The sequence below is a fragment of the Homo sapiens genome, chromosome 5 (assembly GCF_000001405.40).
Source record: "Homo sapiens chromosome 5, GRCh38.p14 Primary Assembly".
Lineage (NCBI taxonomy): Eukaryota > Metazoa > Chordata > Mammalia > Primates > Hominidae > Homo > Homo sapiens.
Window position 1 is genome coordinate 176,363,571 of NC_000005.10, and position 26,599 is coordinate 176,390,169.

A 26,599-nucleotide genomic window follows, 5' to 3' on the forward strand; every position below is an offset into this window, starting at 1 on the left:
TTCCGGCATTGATTCTTTTGAAAAATTTATTTCTGGCTGGGTGTGGTGGCTCATGCCTGTAATCCCAGCACTTTGGGAGGCCTGAGATCACACTACTGCACTCCAGCCTGGGCTACAGAGTGAGACTCCATCTCAAAAAAAAAAAAAACTTTATCCCTGATATTTGTGGTACCAATGTCTGAAGCTGTCATGGTCTTGGTGCATAGCACCTATGTGAGAGCACCTATTTCTTTTCCACAAATAATAGACTGTAAACATTTTTTTTTTTTTTTTTTTTGAGACAAGGTCTCGCTCTGTTGCCCAGGCTGGAATGCAGTGGCGCAATCTCGGCTCACAGTAACCTCTGCCTCCCAGTTTCAAGCGATTCTCCTGCCTCAGTCTACCAAGTAGCTGGGACTACAGGCGCCTGCCACCACGCCCGGCTCCACGCCCGGCTAATTTTTTGGATTTTCAGTAGAGATGGGGTTTCACCGTGTTAGCCAGGATGGTCTCGATCTCCTGACCTCGTGATCCGGCCGGCTGCCTCGGCCTCCCAAAGTGCTGGGATCACAGGCGTGAGCCACCGCACCAGCCAAACTTTTAATCTTAGCAATTTTGTGGGTTTTCCCCTCTAAGTGGGTGTATTTTTGAGGAGGAGCTAATTTTTTTTTCTTTTTTTTTTTTTTTGAGACGGATTCTTGCTCTGTCACCCAGGCTGGAGGGCAGTGGCGCAATCTCAGCACACTGCAACCTCCTCCTCCTGGGTTCAAGCGATTCTCCTGCCTTAGCCTCCTGAGTAGGTGGGATTACAGGCACGTGCCACCACGCCCGGCTAATTTTTGTAGAGATGGGGTTTCACCATGTTAGGCAGGCTATTCTCGAACTCCTGACCTCAGGTGATCCGCCTGCCTCGGCCTCCCAAAGTGCTGGGATTACAGGCATGAGCCACCACACCCGGCCAGAAATAAATTTTTCAAAAGAATCAATGCCGGAAGAAATAAGATGTAGCTAAAACATCACTATCTGGGAGGAGAGGAGCATATATATGTAGTCAAAGGGAAAGGGGGACAAATCAGAAGGAATAGGGGCTGGGACCCAGAGCCAGGGGTACAGAGGAATCGCAAACTAAAAGGAGGTGAAGAGTTGAGACAATATAAAGGGGAAGAGGTAGCCCTGCTGGGCCCTGAGAGCCACAGGCGGTCTCTCGACCCATGTACCCTACAGCCAGCCGTACATGGCGTCACCCCTCTGGAGAGCCAAAAGAACCCGACTGCTGTACTCAGGTCGTTTCTCCTGTTCTTCCTCCTCGTGCTACACACGTGGAAGCCTTGGCAGTCACTGGGGGTACCTAGGACAAGGCAGTCAGCCCTAAACATTCTGAAGTCCTGACACTGCTTAATTCAGCCTGACCAGGACCCCAGCAAAACCCCTGTGGTCCGGGAGGCAGCGAAAGAAGGCTAGAGGTGGCGGGGAGCCACGGACCTGGGTTCTATTCCTGCCTCTGCCACCCCACTGCCGTGTGATATCGGGCGTCTTGCTTCAATTTCCTCCCGAGGTCTTGAGGGATGACCGGGAGACAGATCGCTTGGGTTTGAACGCAGGCTACACCAAAGCACTACGATGCGGCGTTGGGCGGGTTACTTAACTCCTGGGCCTCGGTTTTCCCTTCTGCGTGGTATCATTGTAAGGGGTAACGGAGAAAAGCCGTGAGCTAACCCCTGGTGGATGCTAGCAAGCACCGCCGTCTCCCGTCCTCCCCAGGCACAGCCTCTCCTTCCTCCACCCTGCACCTGGCAGGGGGACCGGAGGTCCCCGCGCGCCGGCCAGCGCCCCACCACCCACGCCGCCGGGTCCCGGGCGGCCTGCCGTGACAGCGGCAGTGCATTGTGGGGCTTGTAGTGCGGGACTGGGTCTGGGTGGGTGGGCGCGGCCGCAGCAGTCGCAGCGGGGCCATCTTCGGCGGGCGAGTGGGCTCGGCCTGTGCAACCCGCACCTGCGTCCCTCGCCCGGCCCGATGGCGCCGCGGCCGCTGGGCCCCTTGGTGCTGGCGCTGGGCGGCGCCGCGGCGGTGCTGGGCTCGGTGCTCTTCATCCTCTGGAAGACCTACTTCGGCCGCGGCCGAGAGCGGCGCTGGGACCGGGGAGAGGCCTGGTGGGGCGCGGAGGCTGCCCGCCTCCCCGAGTGGGACGAGTGGGACGTGAGTGCCGGGCCGAGGCCTGCGGAAGGGCGGGCAGGCTGGGCTGCGACTCCGCGCATGTGGCCAAGGGGTGTGACCACGGAACGGCCCTGCTGGTGCCGGGAGCTTGGGGGGTCGAGGGCTTGGCAGCCGCAGCGCACAGGCCCCGCGCGGGTGGGCGGTCAGAGCCCGGGAACCGAGGAACGGGTGGGTGTGCTTGGGTGCGTGCGGCGCCTTGGCGCCACGCCGTCGCTCCACGCCATGAGGCTCGGGTGTTCCAGCGGGGGCCGGAGTTTGGAGGGCGCGGCTCGGGAGCATCCCGGGGCCCAGCCGGGTCGGCTCGCGCCCCTCCGGCGCCTGCGCAGTGCACCCCGCCCGGGGGTGGGGATGTCGGGAGAAACCCCATCCCCTCCCGCCTGCGGTCGGGACTCCGAGACCGGTGGAGGAAGCGGGGCGCGCGAGCGTTTAAGGAATTCGCCAAGGGTTTGGAATTCAGGACTGCAAAGGCGGCGTTCGTCCCACTCATCCAGACCATGCCTGCCTGTCCCAGGACGGGTGGAAGGCGGGCCTGGGCCCTCTGGTGCCTTCGGTCTTCCCTCGGGAAAGGTCCTTCGGGAGGCCGCCAGCCGCAACCTTACCTCCGCTTCCCCGCAGCCCGAGGACGAGGAGGACGAGGAGCCGGCGCTGGAGGAGCTGGAACAGCGCGAGGTGCTGGTGCTGGGGCTGGATGGCGCAGGCAAGAGCACGTTCCTGCGCGTGTTGTCGGGGAAGCCACCGCTGGAAGGCCACATCCCCACCTGGGGCTTCAACTCCGTGCGTCTGCCCACCAAGGACTTTGAGGTGGACCTGCTAGAAAGTGAGCGGACACCCTACCCCATCTCCCCGTCTCCTCTACTGGACCAGTCCTGGATTCTCTGCAGGGAAGGGGGCTTCCAAAATGCATGTCTAAGCAGCACATTCCCCTCTACGAATCCTTCCCACCGCTCTCCGGGGCACAGGATTCAGCCCACGCTCTGTGCTCTGACATTTAGGGCCCTTCGTGATCGGGCCTCTCCAGCTGCACCGCCTGCCCCATCACCCCTACCAAAGTCGATAGGCCTAACACAGAGATACTAACAGCTAAGGGTTCATATGCCAAGCACTTGACGGGCATTGCTTAAGAAAACTCCCCTAAACAATTACATAAAACTAGAATCGGTCACTACCCTCGTTATCTCCAGAGGAAAATGAGTTCCAGCAGTAGTATCATGAATCCAAGGTCACCCACCTTTCTAGTCTTTTTTTTTTTTTTTTTTTTTTTGAGATGGAGTCTCACTGTGACACCCAGGCTGGAGTGCAATGGCGCTGTCTCGGCTCACTGCAACCTCCTCCTCCCGGGTTCAAGCGATTCTCCAGCTTCAGCCTCCTGAGCAGCTGGGATTACAGGCGCCCGCCACCACGCCCGGCTAATTTTTGTATTTTTAGTAGAGACGGGGGTTTCACCACATTGGTCAGGCTAGTCTTGAACTCCTGACCTCAAGTGATCTGCCCGCTTCGACCTCCCAAAGTGCTGGGATTACAGGCGTAAGCCATCGCACCCCACCATTCTAGTTTTTTTTTTTTGGAGACAGGGTCTCTGTCGCCCAGGCTGGAATGGCAGTGGGCAGTGGCACACCCTCCTCCACTATTGCCTGTCTGGCCCAAACTAGTGTCATCTTTCCTCTCAGCACCACAGCCTCCTCTTTGGTCTTCCTGCTTCCCCTTCTGTCCCTAGTGTCAGCTAGAGAAAACCCATGTCAGGTAATGTCACTCTTGCTTAAAGCCCTTGGGGGGCTCCCCACCCCCTCACTGTGGTCTTTGGCCCCATGTGGCCCGCCCCAGCCAGCCTCACAGCCATCTCTTTCTCCTTCTTGCAGTGCCTCAGCACCCCAGCCTTCTTTCTGTTTCCCAGACACTTCCAGCATGCTCTCCCCTCTGTCTGGAATGCTTTCCTCTGCCTCTTCCCATGGCTGGCTCCTTCTCATCATCCCACTCAGCTCACATGCCACTTCCTTGATGAGACCTACCCAGACCACCCAATCCAGGGCCAACCCCTGTTCCACCTCAGCCACTTTCCCTTTTTTCTGTTTTATTTCTTTCCTTTTTGAAATGTGTTGATGTCATTGCCATGTCCTTCCCAGTTAGGGAGGGAGCTCCTTGGTGCAGGGCCCCTGCTTGCCTTGCTCACCTCTGTATCTGCAGCACCCAGATCAGTGCTTGGCACCTAGCAAGCACTCAGTAAATATTTGTTGAGTGCCTGCTATGTGCCAGGCATTGTGCTGAGGGCTTTGTGGGGATTCAGAGGTAAGTGCCTCTGACTCTCACAGCTTAGAATCCTCAAGTGTCAGAAACATAGCCAGAAACACTAGGGTGCGGGGTGACCAATGGGACTGTGCAGAGGAGCAGAGAGGAAAAGAAAGGTGATCCAGGCTGGGGGACTGTGTTGGCAACCATGTGTTCATAGGATGAAATATGACATTTCCAAGGGAAAAGAAGGGGATGGGGGAAACTGAATGGAGAATGGCTGTGTATAGGCAGGGCAGGGGGTCCTGAGTTTTCTAGACAATAGGACTCCTGGCTCCTGTCACAGCCATCACTGACAGTTTTGAACCTGTAGGAGAAAGCTAGGAATTAGCAAGAGGCAAAGCCAGACAACCCAGGGGAGAGAACTGAAGACTTCCATTTACTGAGCACCTGTGTGTCAGTCCCGTGAAAGGTACATCGCACGTGGTACCTGTGGGTTTTACTGCAACAACCCGTTAGGAAAGTTCAGTGAGGAGACTGGTGCTTAAAGCTAGGGACTTGCCCCAAGAGACCCGCCTATCAGAGCTAGAGCTAAATCCAGTCTGAGTAGCTGCGGAAACTGCGGTCTTTTCCTTGCCCCCGGCTGGTGGAAGCTCACTAAGCTAGAAGCAGGGTGGGGTGGGGGCTGTGGGCAGTGAGCGGGGGCCCGGGGTGGGGTGGGGGCTGTGGGCAGTGAGCGGGGGCCCGGGGTGGGGTGGGGGCTGTGGGCAGTGAGCGGGGGCCCGGGAGGCTCTGAGCTGGCCCCTGGCCTCTCCTCAGTTGGGGGCAGCCAGAACCTGCGCTTCTACTGGAAGGAGTTTGTGAGCGAGGTGGATGTGCTGGTGTTTGTGGTGGACTCGGCTGACCGACTGCGGCTGCCCTGGGCCCGACAGGAGCTGCACAAGCTGCTGGACAAGGACCCTGACCTGCCTGTCGTCGTGGTGGCCAACAAGCAGGTGAGGGCTGTGAGAGGGCAGCTCGGTCCAGGTGACATCCACTCAGAGATGCTTGGGCAGGGGCAAGGAGCGCTGCCTGGGCCCATGGCCTGGAGAGGGTGGCTGAGATGCTGCCCCCACCTCTTCTACCTATGCCCTGTCCTGATCCCTGCCTCTGTCTTCCTTCCTCTTTGCCTCCCTATCATCTCGTACTCTGGAGAGATGAGAAAAATAATTATTAAGTGCCTCCTATATGCCAGGCATGGTGTTTTGTTTTTGTTTTTTTTTTGAGACAGAGTCTTGTTCTGTCGCCCAGGCTGGAATGCAGTGGTGTGATCTCGGCTCACTGCAACCTCCACCTCCCGGGTTCAAGCAATTCTTGTGCCTCAGCCTTCCGAGTAGCTGGGATTACAGGTATGTGCCACCACACCCAGCCAATTTTTGTATTTTTAGTAGAGGTGGAGTTTTGCCATGTTGGCCAGGCTGGTCTTGAACTCCTGACCTCAAGTGATCCGCCCGCCTCAGCTTCCCAAAGTGCTGGAATTATAGGCATGAGTCACTGTGTCTGGCCCCCAGGTGTGGTTTTGAATAACATTTCTTCTTATGCTTCTGTTGACCCTATAAAGTATGGGATGCTATTCCCATTTTATAGATGGGACAGGCTAGTCTTATAATCTTTCCAAGGTTGTACATCTTGAGAGTAATAGAATTGGTCCAGGCGTGGTGGCTCAAACCTCTACCTCCAACACTTTGAGAGGCCAAGGAAGGTGGATCATTTGATTCCAGGAGTTCGAGACCAGCCTGGGCAACATGGTGAAACTCCGTCTCTACAAAAAAAATGCAAAAAATTAACTGGGTGTGGTGGTGCCTGCCTATAGTGCCAGCTACTTTAGAGGCTGAGGCAGAAAGATCACTTGAACCCAGGAGGTCGAGGCTGCAGTGAGCTGTGATCACACTACTGCACTCCAGCCTGGGTGACACAGCGAGACCCTATCTCAAAAAAAAAAAAAAAAATAGTGGAATTGGGACGTGTAATGCTAAAGCTGTACCTTTTCCACTCTGCTATGCCCTTGCAAATTCTGGCTCTAGATCAGAGAGCTGAAGCTGGTAACTGATGAGAGGTAGAACAGGTTAAATAACAGCTAACATTTATTGTGTGCTTACGGTGTGCCATACATGTGGTAAGCACCTGACAATCATGACCTCACTTCCCTCTAAATACCTCGTGATAGGCCCTGCTGTTACACTAAATACCTGGAGTTGCAGCTGGCATGTGGCAAAGCCCAAACTTGAACTCAGATATTCTTCAAAGTTCCTCCTCTTAACCAGTGTGCTGTACCTCTCTTGGGTGCCAGAGAGTCGCCTTGGGCCCAGGAACCCTCAGTATCACAGACCTTGGGTCCCATTCTCAATATCAGGTGAAACTGCCAGAGTACAGAGTCTGATCATATTTCCTGTGGCCTAAACTCAGGTGCCTCTGAGAGCTGTGGGACCTGTTTCCAACTTGACATGGAGAGAGACTGTATGTCTTCGACCTCAGATTCCCCAACCTATTAGGAAACATTTGACAATTATTTATAAATAGGGTGACTGTATGTCCTTTTCTGTCCAAGACAGTCCCCATTTACGACTCTTGTTCTGGCACTATTAATAGTGCCCGCTCTGAGCCTCAGATTGCCCCAGTTTGGACCAGGAATCACATCATGTCCTATTTATAAACTAATTTATAGCAGTTTTGAACCTGTAGGAGACAACATCTAAGGTCCCAGCAGTCTCTGAATTGCTCCAGGAAGAATCATTTAAATCTTGGGCCAGGGTTGAAATTACAACATACCATCACCAGTCATGCTGTGTAGTGGTCCCTTGTTTTCCTCCAGCTAGTTTCTAGAGGTCTTGTCTGGAAGTGATCCTACTGTATCATCTCTCCATGACTGAGTTTAGGAAACTTGGTTATCAAACCAACCTGAGTTGGCACCTGGCTCTACCACCTATCACTGTTACCTTAGCTCAATGATGTCACCTCCCTGAGCTACTTTTCTCATCAATTAAGTGTGGACTGTGAACATTAAATAAGCTGAAGTATATACGGGCCTATCTACAATGCTTGACACATAGGAAGTGCTCTATTTCTAGCCGGGCGTGGTGGCTCATGCCTGTAATCCCAGCACTTTGGGAGGCTGAGGCAGGTGGATCACCTGAGGTCAGGAGTTCGAGACCAGCCTGGCCAGCACGGCGAAACCCCGTCTCTACTAAAAATACAAAAATTAGCCAGGCGTGGTGGCTCACACCTGTAGTCCCAGCTACTAGGGAGGCTGAAGCAGGAGAATCGCTTCAGGATTCCACCACAGGAGGTGGAGGTTGCAGTGAGCCAAGATCGTGCCACTGCACTCCAGCCTGGGTGACAGAGCAAAACTCCGTCTCAAAACAGTGGCTAATGATGCAATGAAAAGAGGTTGGTACAAAGGAGAGCCCAGGGTGAGGGAGAGAGCATTGAGTTTAGGCCAAGGGGTCCAGAGGCTACTTCTGGGAACTTGGGGCCTGATATTCCCGGGGATAGCCTAAGAACAGTGTGTTTCCTGATATTCCCGGGGATAGCCTAAGAACAGTGTGTTTCCTGATATTCCCGGGGATAGCCTAAGAACAGTGTGTTTCCTGATATTCCCGGGGATAGCCTAAGAACAGTGTGTTTCATGAACGACAAGGGTGTCAGTGTGTTAGGAAATGCTGCCAGCTGTGTTCGGACTTCTGTGTCTCACCCAGGACCTGAGCGAGGCCATGAGTATGGGGGAGCTGCAGCGGGAGCTGGGTCTACAGGCTATCGATAACCAGCGGGAGGTTTTCCTCTTGGCAGCCAGCATTGCCCCTGCAGGACCCACCTTTGAAGAGCCTGGCACCGTGCACATCTGGAAACTGCTCTTGGAGCTCCTCTCCTAGGCTGGAGCTCTCCTGCTTGCCACCTGCCTGTCAAGACCATAGTTGTACTGCTGCTGCTTCATTGCCAGACTGGGCCTGGGGCAAGAGCCACATGGCAGCATTTCCCTTTTCCCCTCCTTTGCCTTTCAAGAGCAGGGCCTGGGCAAGGCCAAGAACCATGCAGAAGCCTTCCTGGTGAGGTGGCCGTGAAGCCGAAGCAGGGAGGTGGGTGAGACAGAGGGTGGGGAGGATAGTGTCTGGCTCATTCCAGGCTGGAATGTGGATCCAGCTTTCCCTTCTCTTACCTGTACAGTGAGATGCTCAGTGGGCTCAATCCTCCACTACAGGTCCCGGTACCTGAGGAACCAGTGTAGGTGTCAGAAATACTCCTAGAGCCTCAAGGTCTCCCAGTCCAGAAACAGTCTGGTGACGTCATGCCCTTCTCATGTGGGCAGCTTCTGAGTGGTGACACAGCAAGCCTTTGTTCCTGTCCTGCATTGTCCAGCCCCAGCTCCACCTAAGTGACTTGTGGCCTTGTGCAATCTCTGCCTCTCTGACCCCAGGGCCATTATTTTTAAAGGGAGGTGGTTTCCTAATTCGGAGATGCCTTTCCCAGCCATGGGAGTGTGAAGTGCTAGGATGAACCTGGCCATCCTAGCAAGGAGCTTTCTGAAGACCTCCCTGCCTTTCCCTGAGCCCAGGCCTGGCCTGCCAGCCTCTCTTGACTACAGAATAACTGATATTCACCCACCAAACAGAAAAAGTGAAGGCTGGGTTTTTCCCCTCTAATCTGGAGACAAGCTGCTGCTCTCGTACTAACTGTGCCAGTGCCCATGTTTACAGAAGTCAGGGGAAGGAAGGAGCCTGTGTCCCTGGGACGACAGTCAACTGGAGCTAGGTGTTGACCTCAGAACTGCATTTTATTTATTAATTTATAAGCAGAACAGGCCAGAGTTCTAGGCTCTGTTTCTAGGTGCTGTTTTCAAAACCCCAGATGACAGTCATAGAAAATTTGGAACTTAGGAAAATAGCTGGAATCATGAATGACAATGAGATAACATACAGATGTCAGTGGAGACAAAGTTGTGGGTTCCTCCTCCCACCTGGCTTTGAGGCTGTCGTCGATATCATAGTACTTTACATGGATTCACATGAACTGAAACGCCACCACTTGGCCCAGGATGTTGAAAGGGTGCAAATTCCTTCTGGGTAGATAAGAAATGACTCTGGGAGAGGATTTCCCTTATGTGAATCTAGGTAAAAAGATGGAAAAAAATTGTATTATGTGATCCTAAGGACAGGAATAGCAGACCAGCCAACGGGATGGCCTTGGGTACATCACTCAGCCTTTCTGGACCCAATTTTTCCCCAGTGAAAGCCAAGTTGGACTGAATTTCTGGAGTTCTCATCAGTGCACATTCCATAGTTCTCCAGTGCTTGGCGATCAGCCCAATTGAAGGACTGGCTCTGTACTGACACTTATTATCGGTACAGGCAAAGAGGAGCCTGTTGTCTGTTAGGGACCACTAAATCAACAACCACAAATGGATTTTTTTTTTAAGAGGAGCTGTGCACCTCAATTTGCTGTCTAGTTGAGAATAGAGATTGTGTGCCTTCATTTCATTTGACATTTACCCAGCATGCCTCAGTTCCACACCGTGACCAGTGTAAGAAGAGGAACTATGATAAAAACAGTTCAACAAGCCGCAAGGAGGGTGGGAAATTCTGAAGTCCAGAAGCGAGTGTGATCTTTGGAATAGTGGCTGCTGTGCCCTTGGGCGCCATTTGAAGAATCACTGTTCTTGAAAGTGCTGGTTCACTTTCTGCAGTAAGAAGTGATTTATGGGCTTTTATGTAAAATTTTAAGAATGACTTGGGTTTCAGAGTAGCCTTTGAAACTTTGCTGGCAGCTTTTCATTTTGTCATTGGAAGGCTAAGAGACTTTTCTCCTTTGTTCTATGAACTCCTTGTTCTTCAGGGCTTGAAGGCAAAAAAACCTTAGACAACTTTAACGAAGTTTAAAAAGTATGTTCTGTTTTTGAGCAGAAAAAAGATTCGTGAACTGGTTAGTACTTAGCACCAAAAGCAGTTCAGAATGCTCAGCCCCACAATGTGTGTAGGCTACATTTATAGCCAGAGAAACGAAAATAACTTAGGTTGCCTGATTGGCTGCAGTCTGGCATTTGCCTTACCTGAACATGTTTTAGCAGCCTTCAGCCGACGATTGACTGAAGGTTTGGCTGCTGTGATTGGCTAAAATTCGGCTACTTGTTAGAAGAACATACTTTTAGGTTAGGTTACGAGTTGTTTACACGTTAAGTTACAATTCACTGTGTACAGAGGCAGCTTTAGGCCAGACTTAATTCAGCTTCACAGTGTCCCTCATTTTGCTCAGCCCCTTAATTTTGAGAGATTGACCAAAATCCCACGCACTGACACTACCTTCTGTCACTATTTGACCTCATTATGGAACTCACAGTTTACAATGTTAAATCAGTTAGCGGATTCTGTATGTCTTCATGTTTCTGTTACTCTAACCGTAATGAGACCATTTGAGGTACAAAGGATGACTGCATTGGTGTACTTAAGACTACAACACATCAGTGGGGACCTTAGGATGGCTATCAGGAGTGTAATACCAAGAAACTGGAATGCATCCCTTAATATGAGTCTCCACAAACCAAACTGATTGGAATCAAACAACTCAAGTTCAGACGATAAAAATAGTTCAACAGCGTGCAAGCTCTGCTGCTCATAGCCTGTTCAGGGTATAATGGCAATTAAGGACATAGTTCACTATGAAGTACCTTAATTGTAAAGTGTTTGATTTTTTAGTTAGCTTTTGGTAACACAAGTCATGGTGATTGGGATACCCACTAAAAGAAACATGAAGATTAGAAAACCTTGAACAGCTAAGCTTGCTGTCTACCATTCAGGATGCCTGCAAACCAACCACTAGCTGCTCCTGCAAACACATTATGTGTTCCTTTTCCCTGAGAAATATCCTTGATGTGTTTGGTGGCAGTATCTACAGAAGCGGCAGCCACCACCGCCTTTTGAAGCTCTCCATAGTAGTAGAATCAGGAAAGATAAGCACAGCGTTCAGTTTTGTTCAGCACCATACACAAGCTCCTAGCTGGGCAAAGGAAATCTAAAGCTGCATGAAGTTCCATTACGTGTTTTTGTTGAACACAGGTGGCCTCATCCATCCATCCATCCATCCATCCATCCATCCCTCCATCCGTCCACCCGTCCACCCGTCCACCCATCCACCCACCCACCCATCCATCCACCCACCCACCCACCCATCCACCCATCCATCCATCCATCCACTCATCCACCCATCCACCCATCCATCCATCCATCCATCCATCCTTCCATCCATCCACCCATCCACCCATCCATCCATCCACCCATCCATCCATCCATCCATCCATCCATCCATCCATCCATCCATCCATCATCCACCCATCCATCCATCCATCCATCCATCTGTGGCTTCTACCTGTGCGAATCTCTGTGCTACAAAATTCTTTTCAATTTAGCATTAACTTTAATTTCCATACAGTTGGCACCTCACTGCCGCCAAAAGTGAGTCCGCAGGAACTCCACTGGAATATTTGCTCAGGGGAAACTAACTAATCATCTGTTTCAAGGTTGGTATTCATTTTAGTCTTTGACCTCTGATTATGGGGACTTTCAGGGAAAGCTGTTTGCAAGGTGAGCATGAATCAGGTGAAACAGCAAGATCTGAAGTCAGGACAGAGTAAGCAAATTATCCACAGACCTAATATGTACCCTCTGAAGCTGGAAAGTGGGGGCCACCTGGTAGCATTTGAGCAGGGGTCACTTATGTTCCCCCATAAGTCTGCACAGCTCCTAAACAAGGTCCAGTGGGCAACTTATTTTTATGTGGTCCCTTTATAGCATGCTGTAAGGGTGCATAACCACAGCCAGTGAGAAGGAACCCTACTGGATTTAACCCAGTGACATTATATAAGCAATCGCTTGGAGCCACATAGGTAGTTCCCAGGTCCTGAATATGTGGTGCCTGAAAGCATAGGTGTAGGCAGTGTTCCTTGCATAGGCATTACCTGGACAGGTTTTTTTCCATATTGGCACTTATTAATTGAAAAGGTCAGGGTACCACTTCCAATGAGTGTAGGGAAGCAAGCAGTAGTGGTGTTTAGAATATCAAGGTTAGCTGCTGGATGCGGTGGCTCACGCCTGTAATCCCAGCACTCTGGGAGGCTGAGGTGGACGGATCACGAGGTCAGGAGATCGAGACAATCCTGGCTAACACAGTGAAACCCTGTCTCTACTATAAAATACAAAAAATCAGCTGGGTGTGACGGCATGCGCCTGTAGTCCCACCTACTAGGGAGGCTGAGGCATGAGAATCACTTAAACTTGGGAGGCAGAGGTTGCAGTGAGCTGAGATCACGTCACTGCACTCTAGCCTGGGAGACAGAGCGAGACTCCGTCTCAAAAAAAAAAAAAAAAAAAGGTTAGCATTCCACTCTTCCTTTGGGGTTTCAGGGTGACTTATTGGGAAAATGGAGAGATACTGGCATTAATGGAATCGTTTCCTGATTTGAGCGTTAAGTCACAAACCCAACAGGAACTCCAGTTTCTTGCTAGAGCATTAGCCTTTGCTAAAGCCGGCCCCAGATTATGGTCCCACGGATTTTCCCATAAAGAAAGGGAAAGGATTTGCGGACAGAAAATAGGAAAGAGAGGGAGAAAGATAAGATTTTTGCGATTGCAGTGAAGTCTTCATCCACATCTAGGGAAAGCTGTTCATGTCTAGGACGTGATCTGCTTCTGGGGAAAAACTTCCCTGGTTAGCTTTACCTTAAAGTCTCCAACAGGTGTGTAGTTCCAGGAGTCTGGAGAGGTCCTTTTGAGTTGTGAGATGTGGACCCAAGGTTCGAAGCCCTGAAGTTTTACCACAGTGTGGGTAATAGAAGAACTTGGTATTGTCTCTTTCTGTGAGGTTTAAGGGCACTTTTTCTCTGATACCATCTCCAGAAGACCTAGTCTCAGGTTACAGATTGTGAAGGCTTTGATGGTCCTCTGTGGGTCACAGAAAGTTTATTTTATTTTGTCAAAATACAGTGTGACATAATGCATTACAGCTTTGTAGTATTTAGTGGCATCAGCATTTAGGAGAGTAGGAACTACGTGAAGTTCTGTTAGGAGCACAGGCTTTCTAGTAACTATTTCATAGGGGTCAATCTGTGTCTGTCGTAGGAATGGATCTGATCTGCTGACCAAAGGCAATGGTTGGCTTTCTTCTTCAGAGATCAGAAAAAAATGAAATTCAAAGCCAATGGTGGTATCTTTGGCCAAGATAATCCAATCGATTCAGTTAATTTTGCCAATTTTAGTTTTAAAATATTTGTCCTTTTGACCTTTCCAGAAGACTGAGGGTGAAAGGGACAATGGTAGTACCACTGTGTTTCTAACACTTTATTTAGCTGCTTCATAGTTTGTCCAATAAAATGAGTTCCTCTGTCACTGGAGATTTTTCCAGAGATGCCCCATAAAGGAAACACATGTTCTTATAACTCCTTAGCTACTGCCATAGCATCAGCTCTCCTACACAGGAAAGCTTCTATCCAACCAGAAAACATGCCAACTATTACAAGAACATACTGATACTTAATTGAGGGTGGCAGTTGAATGAAGTCCATCTGTAAGCGTTCAAATGGTCCATCAGGTGTTGGTGGAAATACACCACTTGGAGTTTTTATTATCTTCCCTGGATTATGGGTTTGACAAACCAGATATTGGTTATAACCCATTTCAGCATTTTACAGTGGTCACACTATCAGTATTTTTTATAATCTGGATCATCTTGCTCATTTGTGAGGTGCAGAGGTTGTTTTTTGTTTTTTTGTTTTGAGACAGGATCTCACTCTGTCACCCAGGCTGGAATGCAGTGGTGCAATCATGGCTCACTACAACCTCCACCTCCAGAGATCAAGCAGTCCTCCCACCTCAGTCTCCTGAGTAGCTGGGACTACCAGTGTGCGCCACCATCCCCAGCTAATTTTTTGTAATTTTTATAGAGAGGGTTTTATCCTCTTGCCCAGGCTGGTCTTGAACTCCTGGGCTCAAGCTGTCAGTCCAGCTCAGCTTCCCAAAGTGCTGGGGTTATAGGGAAGAGCCACCGTGCCTGGCCAAGTGCAAAGCTTTTAACAATAGAAGTTTCAAGGGCTCAGGAAGGACCAGGGGGCCATCTAGGCTCTCCATGAGTTCACGCTTAACATTATGTTTACGTCTGTCAGATAACAATTTTGGTTTTCCACATCAGGTGCATTGCACTGTTAGATGGGTCATCATAAAGGTCATCAATCTAGTGGCATTCATTCAATTTGCACATCCTAACTGTTTCAGCACTATCTGATTTAGCATGAAAATCTGCCAGGGCAGTCCCTTGATATTCAGGTTCAGCTTTCCATGTATGGGCTTCAATCTTATAAGAATTTGTTATTTATTTTTCACCTTTACTCAAGATAGCTTGGAACTTATACCAATTTGTGATGGCAACAGGATAGTAGCAAGTTCATCCACTTGAGTCTGTTTTTAATAGGGGCTCCACTAGAAGTGAGAAACCCTCTTTGTTTCCATAACATGCCAAAATTGTGGACTGCAAAGGCATGTATATATACATAGCATGTCTGCTATGTATATAGCATTTTCTGATTTCCCTTTAGCTATATGATAAGCTCAAGTGAGAGCAAAAGTTCTGCAGTTTGAGCTGACTGAAACTGGGAAGAGTCCGCTTTTTATTAACTCATTTTGGGTTTTAATGACATATTTTGCCAAAGAATAATTTCAAATGGGGGCCGGGCGCTGTGGCTCACGCCGGGCGTGGTGGCAGGCACCTGTAGTCCCAGCTACTTGGGAGGCTGAGGCAGGAGAATGGCGTGAACCCAGGAGGCAGAGCTTGCAGTGAGCCGAGATCGCGCCACTGCACTCCAGCCTGGGCAACAGAGCGAGACTCTGTCTCAAAAAAAAAAAAAAAAAAAATTTCAAATGATGTTGGTCTACTTGCTGAAAAATGCTGGGTTTGACTGGAATTTAATAGACTTTCCACAGCACGTGGAACTTGCAAAAAAAAAAGTTCACTCCCTAAAACCAGATCAGATGAACCCTTTACCAATCTGGGGGTTGCTGCCACTGCCTTTAAACAATTGGGATATGCCTTAGCTATGGGGTCTAATTGCAGGCCATGATATGTGATGGGCCTGTGCTTTCCCAACTATGTTCTTTTTTATGTATGTATGTATGTATTTATTTTTTGAGATGGAGTTTTGCTCTTCTTGCCCAAGCTGGAGTGCAGTGGTGTAATCTCAGCTCGCTGCAATCTCCGCCTCCCAGGTTCAAGTGATTCTCCTGCATAAGCCTCCCGAGTAGCTGGGATTACAGGTGCCCGCCACCACGCCCAGCTTATTTTTTGTATTTAGTAGAGATGGGGTTTCACCGTGTTCGTCAGGGCTGGTCTCGATCTCCTGACCTCAGGTGATCCACCCGCCTCGGCCTCCCAAAGTGCTGGGTCAACTATGTTCTTGAGTAAGAACTCCTGATGCCTGATTGTTATGTTTATGAACAAACAAGGTGAAGGGTTCAGTATAAGTTGGAAATCCTAGAGCAACCATATCTGTTACTTTCCATCCTGGTTATATTTCTTAATTAGACTGCGAAGTTCTGAATGAAGTCCTTTTTAAATAGAGCAGTTAATGCCATTTCTGTCTCTGCAGGTTTCACAAGTAGTGTTTCTAAATGAGCTCTATAATCTGAAACCGGTTCATCTTTCTTTTGCCCACAAGATTATGTGATTGACCAATCAATTTTTTGTGGAAAAGCCCTAGGGATTGAATTTAAAAGATCTTCAGCAATTCTTCCAGTTCCTTTTTGCCTCCTCTTGGGGTTTTGGAGTGGTCTTTAGTATCCTCAGGCTGTTGCCATTCTGCTCCTGCTGTCAATTTTCAAGCTTCACCAGTATCATGTGAATAAATTGGTAAAGATTAGAGAGTCCTGAATCATAAGCTCTTATGAGGATTCTCAATTTTCCAGTACGTTTTTGAGTATTTTCTCTTGGATTAGTTAAGTCTTTATGATGGCTCTAAGCTCAGCTTTAGACCATGGAGTAAAAGTGGTTACAGCAGGCAGGCTGGTTGACTAGAGAGTCTCACTTTGTAAGGCATTTGTCCAACTTCCCCTTTTTCATTAGCCTCAAGGAGAAAAGGTAACTGAGCAAAAGGGTTACTGTACTCAAAGCATCGAGGCAAAGAAGAGACAGAGAAGGAGCAATCCAGGTTCATGTGCTGCATGAGCCTTTCATTTGCGTTTTGTAAAGAATCTTTTAGGCAATTTTAGATTTGTATAATCCTTTAGATGCCTCTGCATACCGATTTAAAATGCATCCCGTTGTTTTTGTGGCGTTTTCGATCCTTTCTTTTCTAATGTGTCCCATAAATAAACAGTTTTATTTAAAGTTTCCTCATCGTGGCCATTTTAATTCTAAGTTGTTCCTAGTAAGGTTAACCTGTTTTTCTAAAAACAAGTTCTGGGTCCATAATTTTGGTTTTTTTTTTTTTTTTTTTTTGAGACAGAGTCTTACTCTGTCACCACCCAGGCTGTAGCGCAATGGCACGATCTCAGCTCACTGCAACCTCCGCCTCCCAGGTTCAAGCAATTCTCCTGCCTCAGCCTCTCAGCCTCCCGAGTAGCTGCGATCGATCACAGGTGTGCACCACCGCCCAGCTAATTTTTGTATTTTTAGTAGGGAGGGGTTTCGCCACATTGGCCAGGCAGGTGAGGTGATTTGCCCGCCTCGGCCTCCCAAAGTGTTGGGATTACAGGTGTGAGCCATCACACCCGGACTTGTTTTGTTTTTTGAGATAGAGTGTTGTTTTGTCGCCCAGGCTGGAGTGCAGTGGCGTGATCTCGGCTTACTGCAACCTCTGCCTCCAGGGCACAAGAGATTTTGCCACCTCAGCCTCCTGAGTAGCTGGGACTACAGGCATACACCACCACACGCCCAACTAACTTCTGTATTTTTTGTAGAGATGGGGTTTTGCCATGTTGCCCAGGCTGGTCTCAAACTTGTGAGCTCAAGAGATCTTCCTGCCTCAGCCTCCCAAAGTGCTGGGATTACAGGCATCAGCCACCACACCCAGCCCCATAATTCTTACATATAAAATTAGATGGAGTCCCAGACTCCTTGGATTGAAACAAACCCGTTATCAAAAGGATAACCTACCCAATGCCTCTAACTGGATCCATCCAGTTTATTATGGGATGCAGTCCAATCCAGGACCCAGTCCAGTAAAAATTGCTCAGATAAACTTGGAGAGCTCAAAACACAAATTTATGGAGCTCAGAATCCTAGGAAGAACTCACTATGACCTCCAGTTGCTGTGAGGGGTCAGTGGGCACAATGGGCCCTGGCAGATACCTTTTTTGCATGGTCACTCAGTGCTCCTGGAGGTTGCTGAAGTTATACTTTGGATCCTACTTCTGACACCAGTTTGTTAAAAGAAAAATTTTATAGACAAGTTAACTTTAACAGAGCAGAAAAGGGTTCATGAACCAGGTAGTGCTCAGGACCAAAAGCGATGGTTCAGAATGTGTGCAGGCTATATTTATAAGCAAAGAAACGGAATTGGCATACAGAGATAGCCTGACTGGCTGCAGTCTGGCGTCTGCCTTCTTTGGACATGTTTTGGCAGCCTTCAGCCTATGGTTGGCTGAGATCTGACTACTTGTTACAAGAGTAGACTCTTACATCAGGTTGCAGGGTGTTTACACATTAAGTTAGGTTATAATTCACTATGTACAGAGGCAGCTTTAGGCCAAACTTAACAAAGGTCACCTTTGGAACCAGCACTAATTGTTGAGGGGGTCCCTGGGGTCCCTTTTTACCTAATGAAGATCTGTCTGAGTCTAATGAATATATTGTACAATTTTTAAAGTCCCCAGTTGTGGGAGGTGAACTTGAAGAATAAAGTTTCATTATGTTTACTTGAGCTGCTTTTATCAAGACCACTCTCAAAACCTCAGGTCCCAGCAGCACACTGAGGGCACTGAAGATCCAGAGTGTCACCGCTCTCTGATACTGGTACAGAATGTAGGTGTCCTAGAGCCTGTGGGTTGGTGGTCAGCAGCTGTGCTCCTCTGGCAGGGCTGCTGGCCTGTCCTCAAGGCACAGTGCCACAGTGCTCATCTGCTTTGGTTTCTACCACACGTAGACTGGGCAAAGTGGGTGAACAGGCCTTAAGAACCTCACCTAACTGGCTCTGTGGTGCCCTTACCCAGCTGCTCCTGAATATGACTTTGTGATTCAGGAGCCACAATCACCTGCTCTTGGGAACCAGTCCAGTTACCTGGAGCTGCTCATCTCAGAACGATCTAGCCTGGGTGATACTGTGTTCCCCCCACTGCCTAAACCCAACAGCTGCCAACCTAGCTGAGCTTGGGAACAGAGTGAAATGTTTGGGCAGCTCTCATGTTCCAACAGAGATGGCTGGAGGGGAGGCTGTGGACCTGAGGGAGTGGGTGGCAGCGAGCATGCAGAGCGTCCACTCCTCACATAGAAGGGAAGTCTTCACTACACTTACCTGTTGAACCTGTGTCTGGTCACTCACCTGGCACTGGGGGCCTTTGTTCTTAAGTAACTCAGATGAAGCAGTGGCTTCTGATTTTCCATTCTCTGACCTATTACCATCCCTCTGAAGAGAGGTCACCAGAGATAGCTTCCTGGGATGGGCTGAGGAGGGAGGATCACTTGGGCCGGGAGGTTGAGGCTGCTTCTGCAGTGGGCCATGATCATGTCACTGCACTCCAGCCTGGGATACAAGAGCAAGGCCGTCTCACAAAACCTACAAGACACACATGGCCTAGGGGTGGGGCTAGTGGTAGGGAAGGCTTCCTAAAGTTCATTCCTCACCTGCATAAAGACACATGCTAAGGGGCCACCCCAGCCAAAGGCCTGAATTTGGAATCCTGTGGAGGACATAAGATGGGGCCAAATAGGCCCTCAGGAGCTCCACTGCAGACTAAGCACTGCTGTGTGCTTCCGAGGGCCAGTCATTGCTGGAGTCTACGGCTGGCTCCAGTAAGGGGGCTTCTGGGACTCTCCCAGCCTGCCTTGATGGTATGGGACTGATGGGCAGCCTTCAGGGGTCCTTAAAGGGGAAGACAGCAAGCAGAAAGCCTAGGCTTAGTTGTTGGACAGACTTCAAACCCCACCTTGACACCTTATAGCCTGTTTCTCTACCTGTAAGATGAGGATAAAACCACGCACCATACAAGATTTCACATGAAATGATCTATGGAAAAAACCAAGCCCTCCTTTTTGAGAACGAGCGACAAGAGACAGCTGATAGGCGATCCTGAGAAACCCTGGGAATAAGGTTTTTGTATGACTAATAGTTGGGGATCAAGTATCAGGACATAAGGAAATGCCCAGGGCCCACTCCATACCCTGCTTGTGATCCTGCTGCATTGTGGACATCACCTCATGCCACCGAATCAGGCAAGCCTGGCCCCAAAGGATGGCCATGCCATGTGTAGCCCACTGCTTGGCACACAACAGAGTGGGATTCAGCAGTCCACCAGTCCCAGAAGCCAGGTTGGGGGCCTCGGATTCACTTCAGACCGAGGCCAACATAAGCAATCCAAAGAAAAGCAGAGAAGGCAGGTCACTCAGAGGGCAGGCCAGGAGTTGAGCTCCTTACCCTCTGCCAGTCAAGCCACAGCTGGCCTCAGGCTAGGGCCCCACCAGCCCCCAGCCTAGTGGGGGGACTAGCGTGGGCAAGGCAGGCCCCTTCCAAACAGCCCAGGGTTGCCGGCAAGCTTCTGTAGAGTTGAGAGGAACTGCTGTGCGGGAAATGGGCAGAGAGCCATCGGGATGAGGCCAGAGGCCGTGCCTAGAAGAGCAAGTGAACGTAGCACTTGCTGACAGGCGGGATGGCCTCTCAGCCCCGGTAGAGGTGGTTTTCACCGGGGCAGCCCCAGGGTTTGGCTGAGAGCAGAAAAATACAAAATCATCAGAGAAGTAAAATATATTTGCTTTATTATGTACACACTATATTTACATCACCCACCCTGAAAACAGCAGGTTCTGGCTTTTCCGTGAACCCCCAGATGAATATAAATTGGAGCCTCTGAGAACAGTTCCTTCCCCAGAGCGGGGAGTGTGCACGTGTGTGTGTAACCTTCTGATTCCATGGGACCTGGCCAGCTCCTCTGGAGCCACACAGCACCTCCTTGCCTTACACCCTGGCTCCAGCTTCACTGGTCCGGGGGACGCCTCAGCCTGGGGCAGCTGTGATGTAAACCAGTCACTCCACCTCCATCTTCCTCTTCTGCAAAGAATCGAGGAAGTCTTGCCACTCTGCTGGGTAAAAGCGTTTATAGACGTTGATCTTACTCCGAATCTGTTTTGGGGTATCTTGATAGTAATTCTTCTCATCACGGGCCATGGCCTAAGAGGAGAAGGGCTACTTTAAGGAGGGCTAGACAGGCAAAGGCTCAAATCTGAACTCATCCTGAATTAGGCAAGCCACTTGCTATCTATCCCTGAGGTCCAGAATCCTGACCTCAAAGGCTGTGGTGCACCGGGCACAGTGGCTCATGCCTGTAATCCCAACACTCTGGGAGGCCGAGGTGGGAGGATCTCTTGAGCCCAGGAGTTCCAGGCCACCCTGGGCAACCCAGTGAGACCCTGTCTCTCCAAAAACAATAAATTAACCATCCTGTGGTCCCAGCTACTTGGGAGGCCGAGGCAGGAGGACTGTTTCAGCCCGGGAGGATGAGGCTGCGGTGAGCCATGATCACACCACTGAACTCCACCCTGGGTGACAGAGCGAGATTCTGTCTCAAAAAAAAGACCAGGAAGGCCTGAGAGTCCAGCGGGCCAGGGAGGAGCTGGGGCCAGCTGAGGAGCTCATGACCCATCATAGCCAGCTAATCCTACTTGGGCCCAGGGGTCCAGTGTAGCCGGATCTTTCAACTGTTAAAGGAAGCCAAAAATAGACTTCCATCCTGGGTGACTGAGCAAGACTCTGTCTTGAAAACAAAAACAAACCAAAAAACACCATGCGAGCAAAACATTTATCTGTGAGTGAGACTGGAACCAAGGTCACTCAGTCTATCCTTGCCATAAGCATTCATTCAAGTTAGATCCCTGTCAATGGGATCCATTTCCTAGAGTCTCTTTTGCCTCCCTTTCTTTGCACTCGGTTTCAGGAAACAGGTGCTGCGCAAGCAGATCAAGCCGCGAATGGTCCAGGGCGCCTTCCCAGCCAGCCCACGGGGCCTGAGCCGCTCACCTTATAGTCCTCCCCGTGGTTCTCTACCATGTAGCGTACATAGTCAATGAGGTCCCGAGACAGAGTATTTCCTTTCTTTTCTGGAAGGCTGGCTTCTGCCTCCAGGTCTGGAGTGATGAGAGAAGCGGGGAGACAGGGAATGAGGCTTTGCTTTCTGTGCTCTTTGAGCTGTCCAATCACCCCTTCACCCACTCCCAAGCCACAAGACCCACCACACCAACCACCTGGGGGTCTTTGCCTCCCCATTCCCAAATCCATTGTTGGAACCTCCTTCAGCCCCTTGGATCCCAGACTCTGTCTCCTATGACCCACTCATCTACCAGTATGGCAACTTTTGGAAAGGGAAGTCACTTCTCTCCGGGCCTCAGGTGGATTTACAAGGAAGGTACCAGACTAATAACCTCTACTTAGTGGCAGGTCTCAGGACAGAGATGAAGGCACATACCTGCCCACAGGACAGGGCTCCCTTCCAGCTATAAGCCTCTCAGAGAAGCTCTTGATGTATTATTGCAACACATGAAATGGGACGGTCTAAATACATGAGATCTAGAGCTGCCGGGTCTGGGGCCTGAGGCTGGGCCCCAGCACCTTACTAGTGCTCCATGGGAGAGAAAAAGCCAGGATGTGGAGCCAACTAATGGCTTCACTTTTAAAATAGACAGGCAAATCCTACTCCATTTCTCATCTAGAAAGAGAGAGAAAGAGCTACCTCAGAGAAATGAAGTAGTCGAATCATATCCAGAGGTTAGGTCCTCATATTGTATATAGTCAAAATTATCTTTGACACGGTTGCCAGGGGCTGGAGGTAGAGGAAGATGGGGAGTTGTTTAATGGGTATAGTTTCAGTTTTGCAAAATGAAAAGGTTTTAGGGACCTGTTGCACAACAAAGTCAATATCCTTTACTGAACAGTGCACTTAAAAATGGTTAGGATGGTAACTTTTATGTGTTTTTTAACCACATTTTAAAATTTTTAAAAATGTTCCTCTTTGACTACAGTAAGTGCCTATGGCTTGGTATATACAATCCTGTGCAGTAATTCTTATGAGAACCACTGAGATAAAAGACAGGAACTCAAGGAATTCTGTATCAAATGTCTGGCCATTCAAATCCTTTATCTTTAGGGGAGCTGCTTAAACTCCCTGACAGGTAAGGGGAAGGATGAATGAAGAATTCTAGAGTATTCCCACTTTCCTGTAGGGTTTACTCTCCTCCGTTTTAGCGTTCACTCTCTATAGCCTTAATATACATAAAATCGATTTTGTCATTGGAACATTTATTGAGATGGTGGAATCCCTAAAAATCAGTTCATCCTTAAATTCATGAGAAGCCATACCCATGCCAGAGATTTACTGGTTTCTCTTCTATTCTCCCAGGCACCTGGGTACATCCTCCCTAAACATCTCTGACCTTAGTTCACACAGTAAGGTCAGGGTTTAGTCAGTACAATGAAAAATGAGCCAGCCAGGACACAGTCCTAACTCTGTGAACTTTGAACCAGCTCACTTCTCCCCTCTGAAACTTGGTTTCTCCATCTGCAAAATGAGGACATCTTAGGGCCCTTCCCAGCTTCCCACAGTGCAGGACAGTGACCTAAAGGAATATATGGACCACACCCACCATTCAGCACATAGGGCTTCCGTACAAGCTCTTTAGGCCTCTCCTCTATGTCCACCTCCATGGCCTTCACCTGCAGAGAACAGAGCCCTTGAGACCAGAAGGATCTTTGATGAGGGAAAGTTATAGACTCCTGCTTATCCCAACACAACTACTAACCCATAAGAATCCCTGCCCACGGTTAGGTAGAAGTAGGTAACAATGAGAACTAATGCCCTGGAGGCTTTTTCTCTCTCTCTCTCTTTTTTTTTTTCTTTTTCTTTTTGAGACAGAGTCTCATTCTGTTGCCCAGGTTCAAATGCAGTGGCACAATCTTGGTTGACTGCAACCTCCCCCCGGGTTCAAGTGATCTCCTGCCTCAGCCTCTCAAGTAGCTGGGATTACAATCATGCGCCACCATGCCCAGCTAAATTTTGTGTTTTTAGTAGAGATGGGGTTTTGCCATGTTGGCCAGGCCGGTCTCAAACTCCTGGCCTCAAGTAATCCGTCTGTGCCTTTTACCCCCAACACAATCTTGGTGACAAGGACTTTGTGTTTTGTTCTCTATTAAATCCCCAGGGTGCTTAGGATGTGACATGTTCTCAATAAGTAGTTAACCTAATGAATGGGCTTCGCGAATGAATTTGTTCCATTGCCTTAGGCAAGTTTCTTTTTATTCTTTCATGCCAGAGGAAAATGGCACTACCATTTCTTGAATAAATGTGAGGCTACAGCCACACAGTTAGATAGTCCCTAAGGCAAGGAGTGTTATACCCATTTTATAGATAGGCAGGCAGAGAAAGATGAATTGCTTGCTTTTCTTTTGGGAACCTGGATTCTTTTAATAGTTGTTGAAGCCTCCAGGGGGCCAGGCGGATCACTTGAGGCCCAGCCTGGCCAACATAGCGAAACCCTGCCTCTACTAAAACCACAAAAATCAGCCGGGTATGGTGGCACACGCTTATAATCCCAGCTATTTGGGACGCTGAGGTGGGATATAGCTTGAACCCGGGAAGGAGACTGCAGTCAGGGAAGCCTAGGGAAGCCTCAGACCAAGGATGATTGAATAACAAAGAAAAGGTGTAAGTAAAGATCTCCAACTCTTAGGGAGTACTAATTAGGAAAGTTAAGGGTAGAAAAAGATAAATTAAGGAAAATACCGTTGAGATGCTAATGGGTTAATTTCAGAGAAAAAAGACTGAGTAGAGGGGGTATGGGGAATGTGTGCTGGGGAGGGAGTGTGACGAAGGTCGTAAAGAGACCCTTGCTCAACGTCAGTTGAGCGTTCTGACTGTGGGGAGGTCGAAAACTCGGAAGGGCCTGAGGGAAGGAATGGGCAGTACCACGTTCTGACACCTAGGTCAGTATGGCGGGGGAAGAGTAAAGAAGACAAGGACCGAGACCCTGCCATGTCAGTACCTTTCTCTTACGGAGGGGCACCGCCCTGTTGGGGTCCACAGCCAACCCCATCTCGGCCAGGTTCTGCCGTACCGATTTAGCGTGGTCCCAGGCATGTCGGATGTGGGAGCTACCGGCAAAGAGAGACATCGCGGATCCGTCATCTCGCGGACCGTCCCGGCCGAGGCCCACGGCCACCCGGAACCCCAGCCCCCTCACCATTCGATCCGCGGCGCTGCCTTCCGTCGAGCATTCCGGTTCAGACGCTTTCGGTTGACACTGTAACCAAACTTCTGCCTCCGGGTTTTGCCCTTGGCCTTGGGCATCGCGCTGACCACCGCACCAGCAGCTCAAACACGCTGCCTCTGTCTCTCAGACCTCGTGTAACAAACTCCTTCCGGAAGGCGTGCACAAGGCTTTGCGGGCATTTGGGGAAATGTAGTCCTTTTGTAGCACTACCGTGCTGAGCACTACGACTCCCAGGATGCAACGAGCATTTGCGCCTGCGTACAAGGCTCAATTTATTCGTTTCCCCGCCCCTTTCATGACCTTCACCGGGAGGCTGAGGTCGGAGTCCCGATTTTCTCCTGCTGCTGTGGCCCGGACATGGCGACTCCCGGCCCTGTGATTCCGGAGGTCCCCTTTGAACCATCGAAGCCTCCAGTCATTGAGGGGCTGAGCCCCACTGTTTACAGGAATCCAGAGAGTTTCAAGGAAAAGTTCGTTCGCAAGACCCGCGAGAACCCGGTGGTACCCATAGGTAAGTGGGTGCGGTAGGAACTGCACAAGGAGAGGACAGTGATGTCGGAGGGAAGGAAGTAGAGAAGGACCAGAGCGCTAGCGGGGAGCGGAAGGAGAGCGGACTAGAGAAGAGACGAGGGGGCGGGGCGGTGAGGGGCGAAACTGATTGGAGCGGGAGCAGCGGGTTTAGGGGGCGGGATTTGGGGCCTAAGATTGGGAGGACTCTGTAACTAGGAAGACCTCGACTCGACCTACCCTCGCCGCCCTCCCTCCGCTGTGATCCAGAGATCTTGGCTTTGGGGAAGCGAGACCCAAAGCGGGGAATGACCTGCGGGGCCCGACCTGCTGTTTCCCAGTTGCTTTGTCCCCTCCTCAGGTTGCCTGGCCACGGCGGCCGCCCTCACCTACGGCCTCTACTCCTTCCACCGGGGCAACAGCCAGCGCTCTCAGCTCATGATGCGCACCCGGATCGCCGCCCAGGGTTTCACGGTCGCAGCCATCTTGCTGGGTCTGGCTGTCACTGCTATGAAGTCTCGACCCTAAGCCCAGGGTCTGGCCTTGAAAGCTCCGCAGAAATGATTCCAAAACCCAGGGAGCAACCACTGGCCCTACCGTGGGACTTACTCCCTCCTCTCCTTTGAGAGGCCCATGTGTCGCTGGGGAGGAAGTGACCCTTTGTGTAACTGTAACCGAAAGTTTTTTCAAAAATCCTAGATGCTGTTGTTTGAATGTTACATACTTCTATTTGTGCCACATCTCCCCTCCACTCCCCTGCTTAATAAACTCTAAAAATCCACTTGTATTTAATTCAGTATCATCCCCATGGTTTTTGGTCTTTGATTTTGGAGGAAACGGACTTTGGAGTGGTGCTTAGAAATCGTGTAGTCTAGTGATTCCCGAACTTTCCTAGTAACAGCCACCCAGGGCACTTTGAAAGCAGAGATTTGGCCAGGCGCAGTGGCTCACACCTGTAATCCCAGCACTCTGGGAGGCCGAAGCGAGCGGATCACCTGAGGTCAAGAGTTCAAGACCAGCCTGACCAACATGGAGAAACCCCATCTCTACTAAAAATACAAAATTAGCTGGGCGTGGTGTTGCGTGCCTGTAATCCCAGCTACTCGCGAGGCTGAGGCAGGAGAATCACTTGAACCCGGGAGGCGGAGGTTGTGGTGAGCTGAGATCGCGCCATTGCACTTCAGCCTGGGCAACAAGAGC

General features: G+C 49.9%; 3 protein-coding genes and 1 non-coding gene across 16 annotated transcripts in view, besides 9 other annotated features; 3 read left to right on the plus strand and 1 right to left on the minus strand.

The window, feature by feature from the left end:
- Positions 1,382-1,631: an enhancer, noted in NCBI's record as "active region_23681". NCBI's record gives its function as "activates an Ori minimal core promoter by ATAC-STARR-seq in GM12878 lymphoblastoid cells {active_cell/tissue: GM12878}" and the evidence as "EXISTENCE:reporter gene assay evidence [ECO:0000049][PMID:35858748]".
- Positions 1,782-2,171: a silencer, noted in NCBI's record as "silent region_16649". NCBI's record gives its function as "represses an Ori minimal core promoter by ATAC-STARR-seq in GM12878 lymphoblastoid cells {active_cell/tissue: GM12878}" and the evidence as "EXISTENCE:reporter gene assay evidence [ECO:0000049][PMID:35858748]".
- Positions 1,917-26,599, plus strand: part of ARL10 (ARF like GTPase 10) — a 49,577-nt gene continuing 24,894 nt past the window's right edge. For 2 of the 5 annotated variants that reach the window (XM_011534529.4, XM_011534530.4), the window contains exons 1-3: positions 1,917-2,176; positions 2,810-3,011; positions 5,237-5,412. In XM_011534529.4, the coding sequence (XP_011532831.1) occupies positions 1,994-2,176; positions 2,810-3,011; positions 5,237-5,412 (561 nt within the window). In that variant the 5' untranslated portion in view covers positions 1,917-1,993. Of the gene's footprint in view, positions 2,177-2,809; positions 3,012-5,236; positions 6,387-8,151; positions 18,340-26,599 lie in introns of those variants that run through there. The other 3 variants (NM_173664.6, XM_011534531.4, NM_001317948.2) reach the window with 3 other exon arrangements.
- On the plus strand, positions 4,376-4,461 carry MIR1271 (microRNA 1271). Its single transcript, NR_031569.1, has one exon. It is a non-coding gene; the product is annotated as a microRNA 1271 (primary transcript).
- Positions 15,088-15,252: a silencer, noted in NCBI's record as "fragment chr5:175805661-175805825 (GRCh37/hg19 assembly coordinates)". NCBI's record gives its function as "represses an EF-1alpha promoter that drives an FKBP-Casp9 reporter gene in an ReSE screen in HepG2 liver carcinoma cells {active_cell/tissue: HepG2}" and the evidence as "EXISTENCE:reporter gene assay evidence [ECO:0000049][PMID:32094911]".
- On the minus strand, positions 20,376-25,028 carry NOP16 (NOP16 nucleolar protein). Of its 9 annotated transcripts, NR_134318.2 has the most exons (6): positions 24,863-25,028; positions 24,665-24,773; positions 23,270-23,339; positions 22,360-22,449; positions 21,651-21,757; positions 20,376-20,713 (listed from the first exon to the last, which is right to left on the minus strand). NR_134318.2 is itself a non-coding variant. In NM_001291307.3 (5 exons), exons 1-5 carry the CDS (start codon positions 24,967-24,969, stop codon positions 20,661-20,663), a joined length of 417 nt encoding a protein of 138 aa, NP_001278236.1. In that variant the 5' UTR covers positions 24,970-25,028; the 3' UTR covers positions 20,376-20,660. The 9 variants fall into 9 exon arrangements, 7 of the variants coding, with proteins under 7 accessions (NP_001278236.1, NP_001243469.2, NP_001243468.2 ...); NM_001291307.3 differs by lacking the exon at positions 22,360-22,449 and having other exon boundaries at positions 20,376-20,684; NM_001256540.4 differs by lacking the exon at positions 22,360-22,449.
- Positions 24,332-25,015: an enhancer, noted in NCBI's record as "H3K27ac hESC enhancer chr5:175814903-175815586 (GRCh37/hg19 assembly coordinates)". NCBI's record gives its function as "activates a minimal SCP1, AML or CMV promoter by ChIP-STARR-seq in naive and primed H9 embryonic stem cells {active_cell/tissue: H9 hESC(naive and primed)}" and the evidence as "EXISTENCE:reporter gene assay evidence [ECO:0000049][PMID:30033119]".
- Positions 24,332-26,383: a biological region, named in NCBI's record as "MED14-independent group 3 enhancer GRCh37_chr5:175815238-175816437".
- Positions 24,667-25,866: an enhancer, noted in NCBI's record as "MED14-independent group 3 enhancer chr5:175815238-175816437 (GRCh37/hg19 assembly coordinates)". NCBI's record gives its function as "activates an origin of replication core promoter dependent on BRD2, BRD4, P300/CBP and CDK7 cofactors, and independent of MED14, by STARR-seq in HCT116 cells {active_cell/tissue: HCT116}" and the evidence as "EXISTENCE:reporter gene assay evidence [ECO:0000049][PMID:35650434]".
- Positions 25,139-25,458: an enhancer, noted in NCBI's record as "active region_23682". NCBI's record gives its function as "activates an Ori minimal core promoter by ATAC-STARR-seq in GM12878 lymphoblastoid cells {active_cell/tissue: GM12878}" and the evidence as "EXISTENCE:reporter gene assay evidence [ECO:0000049][PMID:35858748]".
- Positions 25,181-26,191, plus strand: HIGD2A (HIG1 hypoxia inducible domain family member 2A). Its single transcript, NM_138820.4, has 2 exons — positions 25,181-25,403; positions 25,761-26,191. The coding sequence occupies exons 1-2, from the start codon at positions 25,250-25,252 to the stop codon at positions 25,925-25,927; spliced, it is 321 nt and encodes a 106-aa protein (NP_620175.1). The 5' UTR covers positions 25,181-25,249; the 3' UTR covers positions 25,928-26,191.
- Positions 25,659-25,878: an enhancer, noted in NCBI's record as "active region_23683". NCBI's record gives its function as "activates an Ori minimal core promoter by ATAC-STARR-seq in GM12878 lymphoblastoid cells {active_cell/tissue: GM12878}" and the evidence as "EXISTENCE:reporter gene assay evidence [ECO:0000049][PMID:35858748]".
- Positions 25,700-26,383: an enhancer, noted in NCBI's record as "NANOG-H3K27ac-H3K4me1 hESC enhancer chr5:175816271-175816954 (GRCh37/hg19 assembly coordinates)". NCBI's record gives its function as "activates a minimal SCP1, AML or CMV promoter by ChIP-STARR-seq in primed H9 embryonic stem cells {active_cell/tissue: H9 hESC(primed)}" and the evidence as "EXISTENCE:reporter gene assay evidence [ECO:0000049][PMID:30033119]".

Coding starts and splice junctions, on each gene's coding strand:
- NOP16 (NM_001256539.4), bottom strand. CDS start 24,969: ATGCCCAAGGCCAAGGGCAAAACCCGGAGGCAGAAGTTTGGTTACAGT. Junction 24,774..24,862: donor GCAGCGCCGCGGATCGAATG/GTGAGGGGGCTG, acceptor CTTTGCCGGTAG/CTCCCACATCCGACATGCCT. Junction 23,340..24,664: donor TGCCCCTCCGTAAGAGAAAG/GTACTGACATGG, acceptor TGTTCTCTGCAG/GTGAAGGCCATGGAGGTGGA.
- HIGD2A (NM_138820.4), top strand. CDS start 25,250: ATGGCGACTCCCGGCCCTGTGATTCCGGAGGTCCCCTTTGAACCATCG. Junction 25,404..25,760: donor GAACCCGGTGGTACCCATAG/GTAAGTGGGTGC, acceptor TCCCCTCCTCAG/GTTGCCTGGCCACGGCGGCC.